The sequence below is a fragment of the Homo sapiens genome, chromosome 12 (genome assembly GCF_000001405.40).
Source record: "Homo sapiens chromosome 12, GRCh38.p14 Primary Assembly".
Lineage (NCBI taxonomy): Eukaryota > Metazoa > Chordata > Mammalia > Primates > Hominidae > Homo > Homo sapiens.
The window spans coordinates 108606248-108620445 of NC_000012.12; the positions used below are offsets into that span (position 1 = coordinate 108606248).

The 14198-nt window shown below is 52.1% G+C and overlaps 3 annotated features.

The window, feature by feature from the left end:
* Nucleotides 3746–4040: a silencer, noted in NCBI's record as "tiled region #9141; K562 Repressive non-DNase unmatched - State 7:EnhWF". NCBI's record gives its function as "represses a minimal TATA promoter and a strong SV40 promoter by Sharpr-MPRA in K562 cells {active_cell/tissue: K562}" and the evidence as "EXISTENCE:reporter gene assay evidence [ECO:0000049][PMID:27701403]".
* Nucleotides 11045–11504: an enhancer, noted in NCBI's record as "active region_6970". NCBI's record gives its function as "activates an Ori minimal core promoter by ATAC-STARR-seq in GM12878 lymphoblastoid cells {active_cell/tissue: GM12878}" and the evidence as "EXISTENCE:reporter gene assay evidence [ECO:0000049][PMID:35858748]".
* Nucleotides 12085–12134: an enhancer, noted in NCBI's record as "active region_6971". NCBI's record gives its function as "activates an Ori minimal core promoter by ATAC-STARR-seq in GM12878 lymphoblastoid cells {active_cell/tissue: GM12878}" and the evidence as "EXISTENCE:reporter gene assay evidence [ECO:0000049][PMID:35858748]".

A 14198-nucleotide genomic window follows, 5' to 3' on the forward strand; every position in this document is an offset into this window, starting at 1 on the left:
AGGTGGGTGGTTAGTGGTGGTTAGGTGGGTGGTTAGTGGTGGTTAGGTGGATGGTTAGTGGTAGGTGGGTGGTTAGTGGTTGTTTGGCGGGTGGTTAGTGGTGGTTAGGCAGGTGGTTAGTGGTGGTTAGGTGGGTGGTTAGTGGTGGTTAGGTGGATGCACACATGGAAAAATCAAGCTGTAGTCTTCAGATGTGTGCCCTTCATGTAGGTTATGACTCCCTTAAAAGGCTTTTTTAAATAATAAAGCACCCTGCATCCCTTTCTTTCTGAGGGAGTGACCCCCCGGCTGAAGGCCAGGGGTCTTAGAGCTTCCGGTGGCTGCAGTGGCCCAGCCAGCTGCACACTCCATGTCAACATTTACGTTCCCCAGGGCCTAGTGTAAGATGCGGCTTCATCAGCCCAGCATGGAAGCCAGATGGGCCTGGCAGGAATGTAAACGCTCACCGCACTGCAGACCCGGCTCTGGTGCCCTGCTCTGCCAACTGTTCACTGGTGCCCTTGGGCCAGTCGCTACCAGGAGCCTCACTGGCCAGCAGGAGAAGGAACAGAGGCGATGCTTCTGAAGATGCTTTACAGCCATGGTGGAAATGGGGGCCCTGTCTGTCTTTGAGTCCTTGAGCAGGAGAGGGGCTAGTGGAGAGTGAGAAGTAGTGAAGGCTTGAAGCTGAAATTAAGGGGCCCTGAGCTACCCAAATTCTCAGGTAAGTCACCTCACATTTCTCCTGCTCTCCCTCCACTTCCTTGCTTTACATGAAAACCATCTCTTCCCTCTTCCTCTCCCCTCCGCTCCCTTCCTCCCCTTCTTTTCTCTCCCCTCCCCTGCCCTCTTTCCCTTCTCTTCCCTTCCCTCCCTTCTCCTTCCTTCCCTCCTCCCATCCTCCCCCCTCCCTCCCCCCTTCCTCCCATCCTTCCCCTCCCTCCTCCCCTCCTCTTTCTCTCTCCCCCTTCCTTTATTCCTCTCTCTTTCTCTCTCTCTCTCAACAAATACTTATTAAGCACATACTATGCACCAGACACTTTCCAGGCAAAGAACAACACAGATTAAAAATCTCCATTCTAGCAGGGCGCGGTGGCTCACGCCTGTAATCCCAGCACTTTGGGAGGCCGAGGTGGGCAGATCACCAACAGTCAGGAGTTCAAGACCAGCCTGGGCAACATGGCAAAAACCCATCTCTACAAAAAATACAAAAATTAACTGAGCATGGTGGTACGTGCCTGTAGTCCCAGCTACTTGGGAGGCAAAGATGGGAGGATCACCTGCCCCTAGCGAGACCCTGTCTCAAAAAAAAAAAAAAGAAAAAGAAAAAGAAAAAGAAAATTCCCCTCCTAGCCAGGCACAGTGGCTCTCACCTGTAATCCCAGCACTTTGTGAAACTGAGGCAGGAGGATCTCTTGAACCCAGGAGTCTGAGACCAGCCTGGACAACATGGCAAAACCCTGTGTCTACCAAAAAAAAAAAAATAGCCAGGCGTGGTGGTGGGCACCTGTAGTCCCAGCTACTTGGGAGGCTGAGGAGGAAGGATCACTTTAGCCTGGGGGGCGGAGGTTGCAGTGAGCTATAATCGCACTACCCTGGGCAATAGAGCAAGACCCTGTCTCAAAAAAGAAAACAAACGAACAAACAAACAAAAAATCCAGGTCCCTGCAGAGGGACCCTGCAGAAGGGGGCCGAGCATTGAAAAGCTTGCTTCGTGAGGCCACGAGGTCTGGAGGAGGTGGGAGTCAGTATGGAGGTAAACAGAGCAGGGGTGGGCAGCCTCCATGCAAAGACCCTCAGGAGAAGGGACAGCGAGCAGGGAGTTGCTCAGAGGAGGAGCCCCAGCAGCGGGAAGGGCAGTGCTAAGATCCTCAGGTGGGGGCGCCTGCGTGTTCTTGGAGTAGAAGAGAGCCTGGTGTAGCTGGAACAGAGTGAGTTAGGGGAGAAGGGAAGAATGTGGGGCCCCTGCGGGCATCAGCAGGGGTTTTGGCTTTTTACTACAAGTGAAGAAGATCAACCATGGGTCCCCAAGTGTGTAAAGCTTCACCATTCCCTTCCTCTCCTTGTATCAAGCCCCCTCATCCCCATCCTCACTGCCCCCGCCCCCATTCACACACATACACCCTCTTGGGACCCTGATCAAGAGACAGCGCAGAGCCCCATCTCTGGGGAATGGAAGAAGCTCTGCAATAAGACCCCAGGAAGGTGACCAGCCTGGCCAATATGGTGAAACCCCGTCTCTACTAAAAGTACAAGTTAGCCAGACATGCTCGCTTGAACCCTGGAGGTGGAGGTTGCATTGAGCCGAGATTGGGCCACTGCACTCCAGTGCAGTGTTTGAGACTCTCCATCCAGGTGTCTCCTTCCAGTGTGGGAAACAGAGCAAGACTCTGTCTGACAAAAAGAAACAAAAAACATAACAAAACAAACAAACAAAAACACCCCATGCAGGCCATGCAGTACCCCAGACCTCCCTTGGCCCCTTCCAAACCTGACACCAGCTTCCAACCCAGCTGTGGCTAAAAGCTTGGCACTCGGGGGTTCCTGACCAGCCACCTCCTCCAGGCAGTTGCCACAAGTCAGCCTTCTGCCCCTGGGCCTAGGGACAGCCTCACAGACAGGGTCTTCTGCAACACCCAGGCACACCCACCCATGGGGAAGGGCCACATCGGGGGTGGCAGCACGAAGGTAAAACCGTCAGGATGAGCCAAGACCACCTGCCCTTCCGGGACCTCTGAGTTCTGCTGCCTCTGAGCTGGATGACCTTGAGGGTCAGCCACTCTGACCCTCGGTTTCCTCATCTGTTAAAATGGAGGTAATAACCCTCACTTCTCTGGGTTCTTGTGAGAATTCAGTGAGCCCTCGGCAACTGGCACTTGGTCAATATGCTAATGATAATAACAATCACAGCAACAGTAGTGACACCTGGATGGAGTGTCTTTTTTTTTTTTTTTTTGAGACAGAGTCTTGCTCTGTTGCCCGGGCTGGAGAGCAGTGGCACCATCTGGGCTCACTGCAACCTCCACCTCCCAGGTTCAAGAGATTCTCCTGCTTCAGCCTCCTGAGTAGCTGGGATTACAGGTGCCCGCCACCATGCCTGGCTAATTTTTGAATTTTTAGTAGAGATGGGGTTTCGCCATGTTGGCCAGGCTGGTCTCGAACTCCTGGCCTCAGGTGATCCACCCACCTCGGCCTCCCAAAGTGCTGGGATTACAGGTGTGAGCCACCGCACCCGGCTGACACAGTCTTTATTCACGCCATCTGGGCAGCAGCTAACACAGAAGCCTGGTATACAGCAGGCACTCCACAAGGCTACGGGGTGGAAAGTGACAAAGCAATCAGCCACCCAGCCCGTATCCTCGGAGGAATTGCGTGCAGACCCAGGGCTCGCCTCCCCACTTCAAACCCACAGCCCAGCTGGGGCTCAAGGGTGCATGAAGCCAATTGACCTCCCCAGGGCTGACTCCAACCCTTGTGAATTGGACACACGTGGGTGCTGGCCAGGGGGGATGGGCCGCAACAGCTGGAAACATCTGTTTTGAATTGTCGGTTGGAAGCACCGGCCAGGCAGCCAAGGAATCTGTGAGCTAATTTTAGGCCACAAGACCGAGAGCTCTGCTGGGCGGGGTCTCACTCCCCAAACCACAGGGGCGGGGGCTGTGGGGACATGGAGGCCTCCACGGTACTCCTTGGATGGTCCACGCTGACCCGGCAGCCAGGAACTCTCTCTCCCAGGGTGAGCATTAACTGGCACCGACTGTGTGCCAGGCTGTCCACGCTCACTCCACCCTTCCAAATCCCTAGGAGTAGGAAGGATGCTTCTCCCCATTTCCTAGGTGAGGAAGGGAGGCTGCCAGAGGTCAGCAAGTTGCCCAAGGTCATGCAACTCCTAAGCAGTGGAGCCAGGATTTGAACCAGGGTCGCCTGACTCCAAGCCTTAAACCTAAGGCCCCCCTGCTCTCTGCCCCTGCTGCTTAAATTTTGTCGGTCCCATTGCCTCGCCTCAGCCCCTACGCCCTCTGCAAAGCCTCCCTTGCTAGTCCCTTTATTCACATGTTTCCTGATTCTCTACCATGTGCCAGGCACCAGGCAGGGACAGGGAGAGAGTGGACATGAGGGACACAGGCCCCACCCACAGGCAGCGCAAATCAATCTATCAACATCACTCTGACCGTCACCAGTGCCTTGAAAGGAAAAGGGGGTGTCCTAGTGAATATCTGGGGGCAGGGCTGCAGAGTGGGCCTCTCTGAGAAGGTGACATCCAAGCTGAGGCCTACAGGATGAGAAGATGCCAGCTGTGCAGATATCTGGGAACAGGGCCCCAGGCAGAAGAAACAGCAAGGGCAAAGGCCCTGAGGCAGCACTACCTGAAAAAGAGCAAGAGAGCTCGTGGAGCCGGTGCAGAGTGGGAGGTGACGGGAGCTTTTCTTCACCCGTCCAAGCTAGATGACTGTCAACAGATGAGATGGCATCTGAGCTGGGCAGGAGTCAGGGCCCAGAAGCTTCTGCTGATAGGATCAGACAATCCTGCTAGCCCACGCATTTGTTTGTATCCAGAAATTTGCGGAGGGGCTACTGAACCTCTCAGGAAAATCAGTTGAAGCCTCTCCCTCTCAGGGGCTTGGAGGTCGGGCACAAAGCCAGATAACAGGGACTCCAGAAAGAGCTACCTCAAGGGAGTAGTGGGCATCTCAGAACCAGGGCTGAGACTGACCACCGTTGTGAGAACTCACCCTCACTCGGCCACCCTGGCAGGGTCCCTGTGCCTGTGAAAGGGGCTGTGCTTGTGCCACTTTTGTGCTTAGGTCTCCCTGCCATGGGGCCCTTTCCTTTCTCCTTTTTTCTTGGCAGGAGCAGCAATAAGGCTGTCCCGACGCACATCTCGGCGTGGCGTTCTGGTTCTGCCAACCTTGGGCATAGGTGTGCCCAGTTCTGGGGGGCCCTGTGTGTGTGCTAGAAAAGAGGCAGCAACCACTGCAGCCCTCCAGCCACCAAGGGATGCACAACAACCATGTTCATGATGACACAGAAGCATCTCTGGGTTTCCAGAAATCTTTGGGAAGGGGGGTTCTGGGAATCCCACACTGCCGAAGGGGAAGCCACAGAGCTGGGTTTCTCTACCACGGCACTTTTGGACTTCTGTGCTGTGGGGGGCTGTCCTGTGCACTGTGGGATGTCGAGCAGCATCCCTGACCACCACCCACCAGATGCCCACGATCGTGACAACCAAACACGTCTCCAGACATGGCCAAATGTCCCCTAGGGAGCAAAATCATCCCCGGGGAAGAACCACTAGCTCAGAGCACTCCTGTTTGGGCATTAATAACTAAAGGATAAAGCCTGGGGCCACTAGATTTCCTAACACTTTGGGTTTCTTTCTGTCCATTTGGGAATATTAGGAAAACACAGAAAAGTTGAAAGAAGCAAATTAAGCTCACCCAAAATCCTACCCTCAGTGACTAACCTCTCTCAATAATTTGGTATATTTCCTTCTGGTCATGTTTTCTTCATACTTGATAATCCTACTAGCCACGATTTATGGAGGACTTACCTTATAGCCACGATTTATGGAGGACTTACCTTATAGCCACGATTTATGGAGGACTTAACCTTCTAGCGACTATTTACGGAGGACTTACTTTCTGCAAGGCATCATGCTAAGTACTTTCCATGCCAGTCTCATTAAATCCCCACAACACCCCTGCAAGATGATACTATTATTATCCCATTTCACAGATGAAAAAACTAAGGCTCAGAGTTCATTTAACATCATGTCAAGGGCATTTTTCCATATTATCCTTCAAAAACATCATTTTCAATTGCTGAATCATGTTTGATTGATCATACACCTGGGGCTGCCTTATTTTCTTTACCTCTTCCAAGTTGCTGGAATATTCCACAAACATTTCTGAGTCACCTACTCTGGGCTAGGATCACACTAGAGGCTGAGGGCAAAGATGAGTCACAATTCCTTCCCACAAGCACACAGCATTTTATGCCCAGGGACTGTGTGGGCGAGTGCATGAGTGAGGGGTCGAGAGACCTTGTGCCCCTAAATGCTCAGCAATCAGGTCTCTGTCCACTTCTGCCCCCAGGGGGCGGTACAGCATGATCACCACAAAAGTCCTCAAGGCTAACCATGTTTCGACCCTAATTCACACGACACCTCAAACACAGAGGTTTGATCTTTTGTCGACTGTCTCTAGAGGCAGTTGGGCTACGTCAGTGAAAGACATTAGAAAGAGTTGTTCACCAGTGGCTCATGCCTGTAATCCCAGCACTCTGGGAGGCCGAGGTGGGGCGGATCACTTGAGGCCAGGAGTTCCAGACCAAGCTGATCAACATGGCGAAACCCCATCTCTACTAAAAATACAAAAAATTAGCTGGGTATGGTGGTGCACACCTGTAATCCCAGCTACTTGGGAGGCTGAGGCATGAGAATCGCTTGGACCCAGGAGGCAGAGGTTGCAGTGAGCTGAGATTGTGCCACTGCACTCCAGCCTGGGAGATAGAGCGTGACTGTGTCTCAAAAAAAAAAAAAAAAAAAAGTTGTTCACACAGGAGCTGTTTGTCATTACCTGGTTTCTCTCCCAGTGGATATAAAAAATATCCCATCACGTGGGGTGTGAGAACATCTTTGCCATTACCAAGAGGTGTCATATCGGCAAAGGCTCACATCCTTTTCTGAGGAATGCCACCTCTCCCCACAGCTGCAGGTCCCGCCTCTGGGCAGACGTTCTCACAGTCCTGCCTCCAGGTTTTCCCTCTCTCCCAAGCTGCAGCCTTCTGCTGCCTGGTGGGAGGCCTCTCTCAGGGCAGTACCCATTACATCAACCAGGTTCATTCACCTGCACTCTGCAGGCCAGGCTGGAGTGCGGTGGTGCAATCATAACTCACTGCAGCCTTGACCTACCAGGATCAAGGGATCCTCCCACCTCAGCTTCCTGAGTACCTGGGACTGCAGGTGTGCGCCACCATGCCAGGCTAATTACTTAAATTTGTAGAGATGGGGTCTCGCTATGTTGCCCAACCCAGGCTGGTTTCGAACTCCTGGCTCAAGTGATCCTCACGCCTCAGCTTCCCACAGTGTTGGAGTCACAAGCGTGAGCCACGGTAACATACAATCTGGCCAGGCTGTATGTTATATTGTGTGATTCCGATGATAAGTTCTGGAAAAGACCAGTGGTTACCCTTGGTGGGGAGGGAATGATTTGGAGGGACTTGCAGGGACCCTGTAATATGATAGAAACTTGTCTTATTTGGGGGAGCCATTGATAGTCTCTGAGCAGGGGAACAGCCACAGAAGGTAAGGACATTCACAGGGGACTTCCAGGAGGTGTGGCTTCCTTGGGCTTCCCGGTCACTCAGTCCCTGGGAGGGGCAGGGACAGCAGCTGTGGAAGCTCCAAGGAGCATGCCCAAGGCCCTCTGCCCTCACACACGCCTTGGCAGACCTCTGGGCTCACACAGCCTTGGGAATTCCCCCCAGTTCTGCTTCTGGCTCCTTGAAGCTGTCCCTCCAGCGGGGAACTAATACAGACGTCTCCCATCTCATAGAAGGAGAAATCGGGGCCTGAGAAGGCGGTGGCATGCCCAAGGTCTCATAGAGTGAGTCCAGGGGTGGTGGAAGGACGCAGCCCCCTCTGCTCCCTCAGCAATCTTTGGCACCACCTCCTCCCCGGCACCCAGCTCTGTAGAGGCTTCGTGAATGGGCAGTGCCCAGTGACTGCCTCCCAGTGACCCCCTCTCCCAGTTGGGGATGCTGTGAGCACAGAGTGGCCTCCAGAGAGGAGCTCTGTGGCTGATGAGAAGTCACGCCAGGACCTGGCTTGGAGAATTGGAGATTTGGAGATTTGGGGACTTCCCAGCCCCTTCTCAAGGAGCCAGCCTTTGGTGGCTGGTGGCCCCAGAAAGTCTTAGGAGTTTACTCCCGAATCTGTGATTTTTCATGCTGTGTGGCCTTAGGCAAGTCACTGAACCTCTCTGGGCCTCCATTTGCTCATCCATAAAATGGGGTTGAGAATAAGACCTAACCTCACAGGGTAGGTCGACTTCTGCTATTGTCAAGGGTAATTGTTTACAGTGCCCCGGGCCCTATGAGCATCCCATGTTACAGATGAGGACTGTGAGCCTTGGAGAGACACATGGCAAAGACAGAACCAGGCATCAGACTGACTTCTGTCTCCTTCCCAAGTCTTCTGGGGAATGAAAAATCCCTGCCTTGTGTGACTCTTATCTGAGTGGGAAGGACACATAAGCAGTGGCCACTTGATGGCATAAGCAGACACAGAGACGCCCATTCTACACATGGAAAGATTGAGGCCCCAGATGGAGGAGGAATAACCTGGAGTTAACTGTTGGCCAACCAAGCTGGTCTCTGTGCCCAGGACTGGGGCAAAGACGGGGTGAAATACTGCCCCGCAGCAAGTAGGGTGATGGGGGTGAGCAAAGGAGGAGCCCAGAGACATGGCTGGATCCAAAAAGATCTCCAGGGCCTGGGGGAGCTGAGCCCTAAAAGTGGAAACAAAAGGCAGAGAGGGCAGGAGCCGTGGGGCATGGGTGAGGAGGAGTGAGAGGGCCGGTTTGCCCAGACAGGCAGACATATAGGTGAGTGGGCAGCGAGTGAGGAAGCTGGAAACTTCTTGTGGACTTGGGCACTGGGGAGCCATTGATAGTCTCTGAGCAGGGGAACAGCCGCAGAAGGTAAGGACATTCACAGGGGACCTCAAAAGATGTGGCTTCCTTGGGCCTCCCCGTCACCCAGTCCCTGGGAGGGGCAGGGACAGCAGCTGTGGGAGCTCCAAGGAGCATGCCCAAGGCCCCCTGCTCTCACACATGCCTTGGCCGACCTCTGGGTTCACACAGCCTTGTGAATTCACCTGCTTGCCTGCTTGCTTATTGGTTTGCTTGCTTCTTGGGGTATATTTTACACACAGTAAAAAGCACCAATTGTAAAAATGCAGTTCAGTGAGTTTTGGCAAATGCAGACACCCGTATGACAACCAACCAGACCAAAATAAAACATGTTTCCATCATACCAGAGGGTTCCTGCAAGCCGCTGCTAATCATTTCCCACCCCCAAGAGTAACCACTGATCTTTTCCAGAACTTCTTATCATTGGAATCACACAACATACAGCCCAGCCAGATTGTATGTCACTGTGGCTCACGCCTGTAACCCCAACACTTTGGGAGGCCGAGGCAGGAGGATCAGTTGAGCCAGGAGTTTGAGACCAGCCTGGGTTGGGCAACATAGCAAGACCCCCATCTCTACAAAAAAATAAGTAATTAGCCTGGCATGGTGGTGCACACCTGCAGTCTTAGCTACTCAGGAAGCTGAGGCAGGAGGATCGCTGGAGCTTGGTAGGTCAAGGCTGCAGTGAGTTATGATGGCGCCACTGCACTCCAGCCTGGGTGACAGAGTGGGACCCTGTCTCTAAAAAGAAAAAAATATATAGCCTTTTGTGTCTAGCTTCTTTCAGTCAGCATGGTGTCTTTGAGATTCATCCATGTTGGCATGAGAATCAGTGCCTCACTCCTGTTTATTCAGAGTAATATTTCCTTGCACAGATGGACCACAGTTTATTTATCCATTCACCAGCTGATGGATATTTGGGTTGTTTTCAGTTTGGGGATCTTATGAACAAAGCTGCTGTACACATTTGTAGCAGTCTTTGTATGAACATCTGTTTTCATTCTCTTGGGGAGATACCTAAGAATGGGATTTCTGGCTTGGATGGGGAGTACATGGTGAGTACACGTCTAACTTTATAAGAAACTGCCCAACTGGTTTCCAAAGTGGCTGTATCATTTTGCATTCCCACCAGCAACATGTGAGTGTTCTAGCTTCTCCACATCCTCACCAGCACTGGGTGTTGTCAGTCTTTCTAATTCTAGTCCTGCTGGAGGGTGTGAAGTGGCATCTGACTGTGGCTTTAATTTGCATTTCCCTGATGGCTAATGACCTCAAGCATCTTTTGCAACAGCTTTCCTGGAACCTCCACCTGGAGGTTGAGCAGGCCCTGAGACCCAACTTGGCTGAACCCCAGCTCAGGACACTCCTCTTACCACCAGCCCTGCAACCTCCTTCCATGGCTTTCCCAGCCACCCCGTGGCACCCTCATCAGGATAGCTGCCCAAGTCAGAAACCTGAGATTTCAACCTCCTTTTTCCTCACTTCCAACCCATCAGCAACTCCTACCCTTTTCTTCCCAATTACCTCTCGATTCCACAACTTCTTTGCACCCTGCTCTAGTCCAGGTTCTCCTCATCCTCACACAGCCTCTTCCTCCTCCATGCGGCCACCCTGGCTCCTTCCAGCTGCCCCCACCTTGTCTGCTCCCCTAGTGCAAACTCCTGTGCCCATGATGCTCCCACTGCCTGGAACTTTCTTCCCTCTATCCCTTCCCTCCCAAGTCAATAACTCTGTGTCCTTCAAGTTTCAACCATGATTTTCCTGACCCATGCCCCCCAGCTCTGGCCCCATTGCTCCCAGCATCTCTCCTCTGGGCTCAGGGCCCAGCCATAATCTGACATAATCTGATCTTTTCCTGGGTGATTATTTGATCAATCTGTCCCCCTCTAGACCATGAGCCCCAAAGGGGTCTCGAACTCCTGGCCTCAAGTTATCCGCCCACCTTGGCCTTCCACAGTTCTGGGATTACAGGCCTGTCCTACTCACATGGCATCCCAGGGCCTCTCACAGTGCCTGGCACATTCCATAGTAATCGGTGGCTTGGTTGAGTGGCAAAGAGGGATGGGATCTGGGGAAAGAATTTGGGGAGCCCCTGCCAGATCAGCTGCTGGATGAACCACCCCCAGGGTGGCAGCCCCAGCCTGTAAGAGACAAGGGACCTGGAACAAACTGAGCCCATCATCCCCCGCCCCCCATTTCCTGTCTACCCTCCTTCCTTCCCTGCTGGCAGAGCTGAAGTCAGCACAGTGTGGTTTCCTAACCGTGCAACCGGCTGGAGCAAGTGGTTCAGCTTTCTGAACCTCGGTTTCCCTGGCAAGAAAATGGAACAATCATTGCACCCACATTATGAGGTTGAGTCCTAAATGAGATAATGCAGACAAACTGTTTGACAAGGCACTAGGTATGCAGTAAGTGCTCAGTAAAGGCCAGCTGCTTGCCCCCGGCCATCCCTCTTAGTCCTAGGCCCCAGCTCTGCTGTGTTGTGTTCTCTGCAATGAGAGGGCTGCGCTGTACTCGGTTACCCTCCCAAGGAACAGCGCCTTCCCTCAGCAGCCAGGAGCCACAGAGGGTGACTAATGGGGGACTTCCAGGCCCCAGGGCAGGTCAGCAGGGCTGAGGTTTTGGGGCGTGGGATTCCCCCAGAACCCCGCTGTGATCTCAAGGACAGCGTGACACAGTGGTAAGATCCTGGCTTTCAGGTCTGGGTTCCAATCTCAGATCCTCTTCATGACCTGGGGCAGGTGACTTCACCTAGCTCTCATCCTCAGTTTCATCTTCTGTAAAATGGGGAGAATACTAGAACCGTCTGTGAGAGCTGTTTGAGGGGATTCACGGGGATATTGCAGCTGTGTGTGTGTTCAGGATGTGTTTGCTGAATGGATGAGTGGGGTGATTCAGGCTGGTGGTCCTCAAGGGCATGGGAGGCCCAGGCAGGAGGGGAGGGCACAGGGGTGTGCAGGAGCCAGACTATATCTGCCCGTGAGAGCTAATCAACAAAATTTTCAGAATTTTGTGTCAGTTGTTTAATAAATTAAATTCTATTATATTAAAAGCCAAGGTCATCAGTACTCAAAACTCACCAATTCCTAATAATTGTACTACATTATCCGATGATCGATGCCCTTGTTACTAACACCTATTGTATCATCAACTATATAATGGTTGGTAGCTCAAAATCGGCTGTGGGAGTATTTACATGGAAGACATTGGCAAATGCTACAAATCAGGACTTTTTCCCATTGGAAGCCAGTTGTTAAACACTTAACAGCACGCCACTGGCTTTGGGGCTCCTTCCTGGCTAAATGATCTCCAAGTCTGGCCCAAGGGAAACGCAGGCTTCCACCTGCTCTAAGAGCTGGCGGCGGGCGCCCCCTGGTGGCCGCTTCAAGCACCCGGCTTCGCCCACCCTGAATGAAATCCCACACCTTGGAGAGAGAGAAAACTGTAAAGGGAAGGTGGCCCTCTTCCAACGCAAATGGAAATCTGTGGTTACACAGCATCCTCAGGAGCTGTCAGGAAATAGGGGAAAGCTCCCAGGAAGACGAGGTGACAAGATCCCTGGGGAACAACTCAGAGGTCCTTCAGCCTGAGTCCACAGCCCCCTGCTGTGGAGCCTTCAGCTCCCCTTCTCTGATTTTTCTGATCCCTCCCAAAGGGGAGGTAGACTCAGTCTCTCCTGACCCATCAGCCTGCCGACCCCGGGTGTTAACTGACCCAGCCCATGGCAGACACTCCCACCTTCTTCCATCAGCACCCCCAGGACACTTTGAACACACCTGCCTGTGTGTATCAGATTTGATCCTTCCAGAAGTTCAGGGGAGGAGACAGACACTGCATTTCCAATATGTGTGGGCCCTCTCCCCACTCCTCCCCGATGCTGTCCCATGGCCTTTCCCCCTGACGGCTCTTTCCTACCTTTCCCTTGTCTCTTTCCTCCAACCCCTCTCTCCCAAGCCACAGCCAACCCCTGCCAGACTCAACCTTCTCTGTGAACTCCCCTTTTCCGGGATAAACCATTGGGGGCAAGGAAAGAAGTCCTTCACTTCCAAAGAGGCCATTGAAGGTATTTTTTTTCTTTTTCCTTTTCTTTTCTTTTCTTTTTTTTTTTTTTTTTTTTTGAGACAGCTTTTCACTGCTGTTGCCAAGGCTGGAGTGCAATGGCATGACCTTGGCTCACTGCAACTTCTACCTCCCAGGCTCAAGTGATTCTCCCACTTCAGCCTCCTGAGTAGCTGGGACTACAGGCGCACATCACTGCACCTGGCTAATTTTTGTATTTTTTGTAGAGACGGGGTTTCACCATGTTGCCCAGGCTGATCTCAAATTCCTGAGCTCAAGCCGTCCTCCTGCCTCGGTCTCCCAAAGTGCTGGGATTACAGGCGTGAACCACCACACCCAGCCGGAGGTATTTTTCAAGAAGAAAAATAAAGACTATCCCCTGAGATGACTTTTATTCCTCTCCTAGAAGGTAGAACAGAGTCTGTTTAAGCGGCAGCTTCTTTCTCTCTCTATGGAAATGACTGGAAGGTATTTGGGAGCAGAAGAGCAAGAACTCTCCAAATCCTGGTTTTCTAATCTGACTGAAACTGCCTTTGCAAAAATTATAACTGAGGAAATGATGACAGTGGAAGAGACCAGACCGAACAGACTCCATCTTGCTTCTAGCCTTTAAGCTGTCCTTGTTCATTCCTTCCCCAAAGTTAGGCTGAACTAACTTTGGGAAATAATTCAGTTCGTGTTTTGACTCTGAAACAAAATTAATAATATCCCTTCCCCCCGAAAAGACCCCCTTCTTGCCTGGGGACCGATCTGCCTTTGCAGGACTAACAAATTAGCTACAAGATTCGAAATTATGGTTTAGGGGTCATGCAGCCTCTGGCTCCAAGAGTCTAAGCCTCCCCAAATTGCTCCTGTGGATAACATCAGTATTGTAAAACCTCAGAGCACTACGTGAGATATTTTGCAGACCCCGCACTGGATGGATCAGTTGACACCACCTAGGCTGGTATTCTGGCTCAACCAGTTCTGCCATCGCAGCCGGGAACAGAAGACATGAAGAAAACCTCACTGCAACCCCCTATGACTGTATCTCCAACCTGACCAATCAGCACTCCCAACTTCCCAAGTCCTTACCCGCCAAATTGTCGTTAAAAACTCTGATCCCCGTCTCCTGTACAGCCTGCTCTGCATGAATTACTCTGTCTCCCTTGCAATTCCCCTGTCTTGATAAATCGGCTCTGTCTAGGCAGCAGGCAAGGTGGATCCACTGGGCGGTGACCTGACCCCCACAAGGTAGTGTGAGTTTTGAATGGGATAATGCAAGTGTTGCTTAAATAGCAGGGCCAACCTGGTTTACTGGGGCTGAGTTTCACGGAATATGGGACTTTCAGTGCTAAAATCAAGAAAGTTCCGGGCAAACTGGGACGACTGGTCACCCTATGCTTAAAATCAGGCGTCAGCAAACTGACGGAGCTGAAATGAGCCTGCCGCCCGTTTGTAAATAAAGTTTTATTAGAACACAACCAT